At 41.4% G+C, this 7,602-nt stretch overlaps 1 protein-coding gene and 1 long non-coding RNA gene across 10 annotated transcripts in view, besides 1 other annotated feature; one reads left to right on the plus strand and one right to left on the minus strand.

The window, feature by feature from the left end:
• SLCO6A1 (solute carrier organic anion transporter family member 6A1) overlaps positions 1–715 on the minus strand; it is a 127,228-nt gene extending 126,513 nt beyond the window's left edge. For all 9 annotated transcript variants that reach the window (XM_011543148.3, XM_011543147.3, NM_001308014.2 and 6 more), the window contains exon 1: positions 201–715. In XM_011543148.3, the coding sequence (XP_011541450.1) occupies positions 201–558 (358 nt within the window). In that variant the 5' untranslated portion in view covers positions 559–715. The remainder of the gene's footprint in view (positions 1–200) is intronic.
• Positions 102–602: an enhancer, noted in NCBI's record as "H3K4me1 hESC enhancer chr5:101834092-101834592 (GRCh37/hg19 assembly coordinates)". NCBI's record gives its function as "activates a minimal SCP1, AML or CMV promoter by ChIP-STARR-seq in primed H9 embryonic stem cells {active_cell/tissue: H9 hESC(primed)}" and the evidence as "EXISTENCE:reporter gene assay evidence [ECO:0000049][PMID:30033119]".
• An 84-nt stretch (positions 716–799) lies between the features above and the next one.
• Positions 800–7,384, plus strand: LOC124901035 (uncharacterized). Its single transcript, XR_007058892.1, has 2 exons — positions 800–2,540; positions 7,142–7,384. It is a non-coding gene; the product is annotated as an uncharacterized LOC124901035 (long non-coding RNA).
• Positions 7,385–7,602: the final 218 nt, after the last annotated feature.

Below are 7,602 nucleotides of genomic sequence, written 5' to 3' on the forward strand. Positions count from 1 at the left end.
GGCAGCGGGCAAGGTAAACCCACTGGGTGGCTAAACTTTGATCCGACAACGCCTTGAGAAGTCAGAAAGCAGCCTCAGGCTGGGCCACCCCAGGGCATGCTGGGCCACCCCAGGGCGTCCTCCGCCATACTCCCTCTCCCGCCTCCGCCAGTGCGGCCCCAGCTGCCCTCGCCACAACAAACCGCCTCCTTCAGGCTCACCTTGACATATGAGCAGGATGCAGTAGAAAATCATGAAGCAGCGAATGTTATTGCAACACTCACAGCAGGTGCTGACTAAGCAGCCCAAACCACAGGGCTGCTCCAAACTGTCATCCACTTCTCCCGGCTTCTTGGAAACTGAGGACTTGGCTTTTTTCCTTTTTCGGAAACCGCCGAACCTTATCAAGGCCTCTGGAAGTAGTCTCAGATACCGGTGTTTTTTCCCGGGCTTCGAGGACTTCGGGGTTCCCTTGGCCCTCCTGTCCTTAGCAGGCTGGGCCCGCGCGGCCTCCAGCGGCTCTACTCCCCTTGAGACTTCATCCTGGCTCCCAGAGTGCCGGGCGACGCCTACGAACATGGCTCACCCTGGGCGGCTCCTGGCGACGCGGCCCGAGTGCTCTCGGCTGCCCGTCCTGCCTGGGCCAACCCAAAGGCCAGCCTGGCGAGGGCGTCGGAGGACTCGGTGGCCACAAGGGGCTCTTGCCGCCCAAGCCTCCAGAGCGAACGTTTCTCCTAGGGCAGGAGGCAAACGTCCTCCCGGGGGTTGACGGTTGAGAACTTCCAAAGCTGTTTTCCTTCTTTTCTTCCACGTGCGGAAGGAAAAAAAAAAGCTAAAACTAGATTTTGATAACTGCTAACACAGACAAAGAGCACCAGAAGCATGGAAAAAAAAAAAAAGTGGAACTGTCCGTCCCCAGTTTCCCCAGACTTACTTTATTATGGTGGCTTTCCAACTGAAAAATCTCACTAGAAACAACCTGAAAATTGTTGAAGGACCAGGAGAGAGCAGAAGACATTAAAACAACAACAACAACAACAACAACAAAAACAGTTTCACCACAGTAAAAGATTTGGACGCACAAAAATCAGAAATCAATGTCCGACTGAATGTCCTTAAGTGAAGTGTTTTACACATAGAAATTATTGCCCTACAAACTCTATCCCAACTCAAGAACAGAAAAGATTATCATTTTCCACCTTAAATGAGGGCACGAGAACCAGAGGATTATTTTTTCAGGTATAAAAACTTTATTGAAGAGAAAGAATGTAAGCGAAGAGTAGTAGGATATGAAACGTGGCTTTCTTTTTTTAATGAAAATGCAACTTCTTATTGGTTTTCTTTTCTTAGGCTGATATATAAGCTCTTTAGGCCATGTATATGTGGAGGGTGACTTTCCAGGAGAGATGGCACTATCTTCTCTCCTATGGATTAGACATTGTGTTGCCAAAAACAATTTAGCTCTTCAACAAGATTTTGTGCTGCTCCAATAGTGCTGGCCTGGTAGACCAGGGAAAGAAGAATTAAGAACCACTGACCTGAAGCCTGATTTCGACTCTACACTGCTTCATGATAATAAATGTAAAAAAAAAAAAAAATCCACAGGAATCCTAGGAGGTAGGAAAGACAGTGGGGAGTGGTGGGCTCTTATTCTTGTGCTTCAAAACCAGAATAGGTACTGCTTGGGTGCAGAGCGGAAAAGACAACTCCATTAAAAATGAATGGTACTGGGAATTTTACTTCTACCCAGAATGTAGAAAGCCAAATAAAATGTAACCCCCACTCCAATAATAACAACAACAACAAAGCTGGATAGTATGAAAAAATACTTTTTTTATCAGAGAGCTACATTTCTATAGCTATGGCTGCTGTAAAGAAACTAGGCAAATTGATTCTAAAGGACAATAAGCCCTTCAGAAAAAGGATGGGACACACAAACCATTTTACTTTTCAAAGAGCACAGAAAGAAGAAAAAGCAGTCATAAAGGAAGATAGAAACACTTGAAATTTTAATGAATTCTTAAAGGCCAAGGGAAGCTTAACAGTTTAGAAACCCTAGAAGCCTAAGAAATAAGGGGAGTCTATACCCGTTTACCAGATCTTTGTTTAAGGGAAAAGATTTGGTCGTGGTAGACTGTCCCTGAGAAAGAAGAAGGAATACTTTCCCTCCTACCTCCACTGACCCTTCTGCTATCCAAAGCAAAAGCAGTTTTGCCTCTGGGATTGAGGCAGGAAACTCTCATGCCCTCCAGTCTGTGACAAAGGTTATCTGTTACAGAAGAAAAAACCCACTGAAGGAGGAGCAGCAAACCATCCTGTCTATGGCCTACCTTAAGATTGACTGCCACCAGAGAGAGGGATAGAAATAAAACAGTTTGCCAAAAAGAGAGGAGCAGGAACTTCATTTCTTCCCAAGAACCCCACTGAAACAAGGCAAAGCCCGAACTTGAGGTTCAGGCATTCAGGGCATGTCCAAAATTGAGGCTGGACCAGGGACAACCTAGCTTCTGCCTCGATGAGGAGTTTTGCATGAGTGAAAAAACAGCACTCCACCAATATAGGTGAGTCAAGAGAGCAGAGGGAAACCCTACCTGTGGTGCAAGCATACAGGACCTGCTGAAAGCTAAGGGTGGAATGGAAACACTGACAAACATACCTTCAACATTCTTTGATCAGCATATTTTTATTACATAATGTAGGACACTGTCATCCAGCTACAAAAATTGTACTCTAAGTATTTAAGTAGAAATTGTGGATATTTGTTTACCTTGCTCATTTAACCTTAGAAAACATCACACTTAATTCATTTTGGCTACCTTTATGATAGTACCATGCATGATAGAATTTCATGGTATGGATTTACTATAATTTATTTAACCACTTTCTTTTATATTGATGGGTATTGGATTGTTTTTCAATTTTTGCTCTGACCATACTGAAATTAACATGGTTGTATGTATTTTCCTGAGACAGATCACTGATTTTAAAAATCTTTTTATAGATGATGTCGATCAGAGTTATAAAACTATCTCAATTCCAGAAATATTAAATGTGAAAAAAATTATCTTTGAATCTTAAAATGTATGCATATTAATTACATGTTTCCTAAAAGTTAGCAAGTAATTATAGTATAAAATTTCGATACAGGCAATGAAATATAGCTACCAACTAAAGCATTCCCTGATGAGTTCAGCAATCCAAGTGCTTAAGATATTCAAGAAACCAGCTTAAATTAAACAATGAATGTTTATGAGGTGCTCTTTTATATTCTCTATGTAATATCTATTTCCGCTAAATGCTCTAAACATGTAGGAAGAACTACTCACTAAAGTAACATATTGATGATAATTCATATAATCCTTTTAGCAAATGAGCCTATGAAGTAGATAAACCGCATGATGGTGCAAATTATAATAATGTAGCTTAATATAAGATGACCTCAACTATTAAGAGATATAGAACTGTTTTCTCTTTTAGTAAATGGTTTCTCATTTGCTTTGCTTTCCTGGTAAATGATTTTTACTTCCTCCCTGATAGACAGTAGTGACATTTTGCTACAATTTCTAATATGCTACCACCTATAATATTGCAGTGACGCTTGTTACATCTTTCCTTCACAATATAAGATTTACAGGTCCTATGTTGAAACTAATGTTAGATATCTGGGTGCTATAAGTACTATTTTTCTTGATAACTACAGACTTTTTATTTTACTTTTTGCTTTCTGTGAATCTTTTCAGTTTACTGAGATTAGAAGTCTAACTGCTAGATAAGTAAAATGCTACATAATTTTTTAAGTCCAGAAGAAAACAAAGGCAACTGGAGGAAACGGGTGGGGACATGAAAGAAAGAAGCATTATATGTAATGAATAAAGTATAGACTTTGCTTAGTTGATATGTGATTTGGGGTAAGTCTTTTAAACATTCTGACCCTTAATTCTTCATTTGTAAAATGAGGATAATAATTATCCCATTTGAAAAATTACTGTGAAGATTAGAAGCAATATATTAAAAGTATCTAGCTCATTTTTGGCATATGCTTAAACAAAGATAATTATGTTTCAAATTATTAGAATAATGAGCCACCATATTAAAAAGTAACTACTGTTATATATACCTCCCTACAAGTCAGACCCTCATTGGTGAGTAGAGATTTACCAATTGAGGGGGAAAACCTATCAGCAAATGTTTTCACAAAAGGCTGTAAAGAGATGGCAACATTTCAGATTATCTGTAATGAACTGGTAGAATTCAGATAAGTAATAATGTTTGCAGGAGGCATAGCAGACTAAGTTGATGTTTGTTGTGAGGTACATTAGAGGTATTTTTCTTTTCCTTTCTTTTTTTTTGAGATAGAGTCACACTCTGTCACCAAGGCTGGGGTGCAATGGCCCAATCTCGGCTCACTGGAACCTCTGTCTCCTGGGTTCAAGTGATTCTCTTGCCTCAGCCTCCTGAGTAGCTGGGACTACAGGTGCGTGCCACCACACCTGACTTGTTTTTTGTTTTTGTTTTTGTTTTTGTTTTGTATTTTTAGTAGAGACAGGGTTTCATAATGTTAGCCAGGATGGTCTCAATCTCCTGAACTTGTGATCCGCCTGCCTTGGTCTCCCAAAGTGCTGGGATTAGAGGTGTGAGCCACCAAACCTGGCCCATTAGAGGTAATGTTTAAGACACTTAGGAAGAAAATCAAGTGCTGTGACAATAAGTTGTAAAGCTTCATGAAGTAGCTTCAGGGACAACAAATTACCCTGATGGGGAGAGAGCTAGAATCAAAAGTGGAATAATATTTAGATCCCCAGAAATGGTTCCCTACCTGAGACCTTATGGAAACAGAGACAGTCAGAAGAAACTGGGAGGCCTGGAATCTTACAATTAAGAAATGTGTAAACATTGAAATAAACATGATATGGTTTGGCTGTGTCCCCACCCAAATCTCATCTTGAATTCTCATGTGTCATGGGAGGGACCTGGTGAGGCAGTTTCCCCCTTACTGTTCTCATAGTAGTGAATAAGTCTCACAAGATCTAATGGTTTTATAAGGGTTCTGCTTTTGCTTCTCTCATTCTCTCTTGCCACCACCCCGTAAGAAGTGCCTTTCACATTCTGCCATGATTATGAGGCCTCCCCAGCCATGTGGAACTGTAAGTCCATTAAACCTCTTTCTTTTGTAAATTACCCAGTCTCAGTATGTCTTTATCACCAGTGTGAAAACAAACTAATACAGTAAATTGGTACCAGTAGAGTGGGGCGCTGGTGAAAAGGTATCCGAAAATGTGGAAGCAACTTTGGAACTGGGTAACAGGCAGAGGTTGGAACAGTTTGGAGGGCTCAGAAGAAGACAGGAAAACATGGGAAAGTTTGGAACTCCCTAGAGACTTGTTGAATGGCTTTGACAAAAATTCTGATAATGATATGGACAATGAAATCCAGGCTGAGGTGCTCTCAGATGGAGATGAAGAACTTGTTGGGGACTAGAGCAAAGGTGACTCTTGTTATGTTTTAGCAAAGAGAGTAGTGACATTTTGCCCCTGCCCTAGAGGTTTGTGGAACTTTGAACTTAAGAGAGATGATTTAGAGTATCTGGCAGAAGAAATTTCTAAGCAGCAAAGCATTCAAGAGGTGACTTGGGTGCTGTTAAAGGCATTCAGTTTTAAAAGGGAAACAGAGCATAAAAGTTTGGAAAATTTGCAGCCTGACAATGTGATAGAAAAGAAAATCCCATTTTCTAAGGAGAAATTCAAGCCAGCTGCAGAAATTTGCAAAAGTAACGAGGAGCCAAATATTAATCACCAAGACAATGGGGAGAATATCTCTAGGGAAAGTCAGAGACTTTTGTGGCAGCCCTTCCCATTACAAGCCCAGAGGTTTAGGAGGAAGAAATGGCTTTGTGGGCCGGGCCCAGGGTCCCCATGCTGTGTGCAGTCTAGAGACTTGGTGCTGTGTGTCCTAGCTGCTCCAGCCATGATTAAAAGCGGTCAAGGTACAGCTCAAGCTGTTGCTTCAGAGGGTGGGAGCCCCAAGCCTTGGAAACTTCCATGTAGTGTTAAGCCTACAGGTGCACAGAAGTCAAGAATTGAGGTTTGGGAACCTCTGCCTAGATTTCAGAGGATGTATGGAAACGCCTGGATGCCCAGGCAAAGTTTGCTGCATTGGGCAGTGCCTCATGGAGAACCTCTGCTAGGGCAGTGAGGAAGGAAAATGTGGGGTAGGAGTTCCAACACAGAGTCCCTACTGGGGCACTGCCGAGTGGACCTGTAAGAAGAGGGCCATGGTCCTCCAGCCCCCAGAATGGTAGGTCTATCAAGAGCATGCACCATGTGCCTGGAAAAGCCACGGACACTCAATGCCAGCCCATGGAAGCAGCCGAGAGGGGGGCTATACCCTGCAAAGCCACAGGAGCAGAGTTGCCCAAAGTTGTGGGAGCCCACCTCTTGCATCAGCATGACCTGGATGTGAGACACGGAGTCAAAGAAGATCATTTTGGAGCTTTAAGATTTGACTGCCCCACTGGATTTCAGACTTTCATGGGGCCTGTGGCCCCTTTGTTTTGGCTAATTTCTTCCATTTGGAATGACTTTATTTACCTAATGCCTGTACCCCCATTGTATCTAGGAAGTAACTAACTAGCTTTTGATTTTACAGACTTATAGGTGAAAGGGACTTCCCTTCTCTCAGATGAGACTTTGGACTGTGGACTTTTGAGTTAATGCTGAAATGAATTAAGACTTTGAGGTATTTTTGGGAAGGCATGATTGGTTTTGAAATGTACGGACATGCGATTTGGTCGGGGCGAGGGGTGGAATGATATGGTTTGGTTCTGTCCCCACCCAAATCTCATCTTGAATTCCCACGTGTTGCGGGAGGGACCCGTTGGGAGATACTTGAATCATGGGGGCAGTTTTACCCATACTGTTCTTGTGGTAGTGAATAAGTCTCATGAGATCTGATGGTTTTATAAGGGGTTTCCGCTTTCACTTCTCTCTCATTCTCTCTTGCTGCCACTATGTAAAAAGTGCCTTTTGCCTTCCACCATGATTGTGAGGCCTCTCCAGATACGTCGAACCGTAAGTCCATTAAACCTATTTTTCTTCCCAGTCTCGAGTATGTCTTTATCAGCAGCATGAAAATTGACTAATACAAAACTATTTTTACTCATTAGGTAGAAATTCAGAAATTCAGTGTGTAAAATGGTAAAGTGGATTGAAGTTGAAGATATTAGATCATTTAAGAAGTCAATAAATGAAGTAATAAACATGCGAATGAGAAGACTGATGATGAAGAGGACCTTTAAAAGTGTATTTCTGTTACGGTTATTTTTTTTTTAAAGTGATTTGAAGCCATTTATAATGATTGCTAAGTGGCATGCTAAAGTTTTAAAAACAAATAAAGCATTAAAAAATAAGTATTTTTGAAAAGAAATTCTTCTGACACTTGTTACAATAGTAAGGAAGACTTTACTGAGGACTATTGTAACGTAGGAGAGAAACTGTGCTCAGCTCGTGAATACAACAAAAACAAGCAAGTATTTGTAAGCTAAAGAGCAGATTGAGGGTGTCAGTGGATGGAAAATTATTAACAGGAGATATCAAAGGTAGGGAGATTCTTGCTAAACTGACTTAA

The sequence above is a fragment of the Homo sapiens genome, chromosome 5 (genome assembly GCF_000001405.40).
Source record: "Homo sapiens chromosome 5, GRCh38.p14 Primary Assembly".
In the NCBI taxonomy this organism is placed as follows: domain Eukaryota; kingdom Metazoa; phylum Chordata; class Mammalia; order Primates; family Hominidae; genus Homo; species Homo sapiens.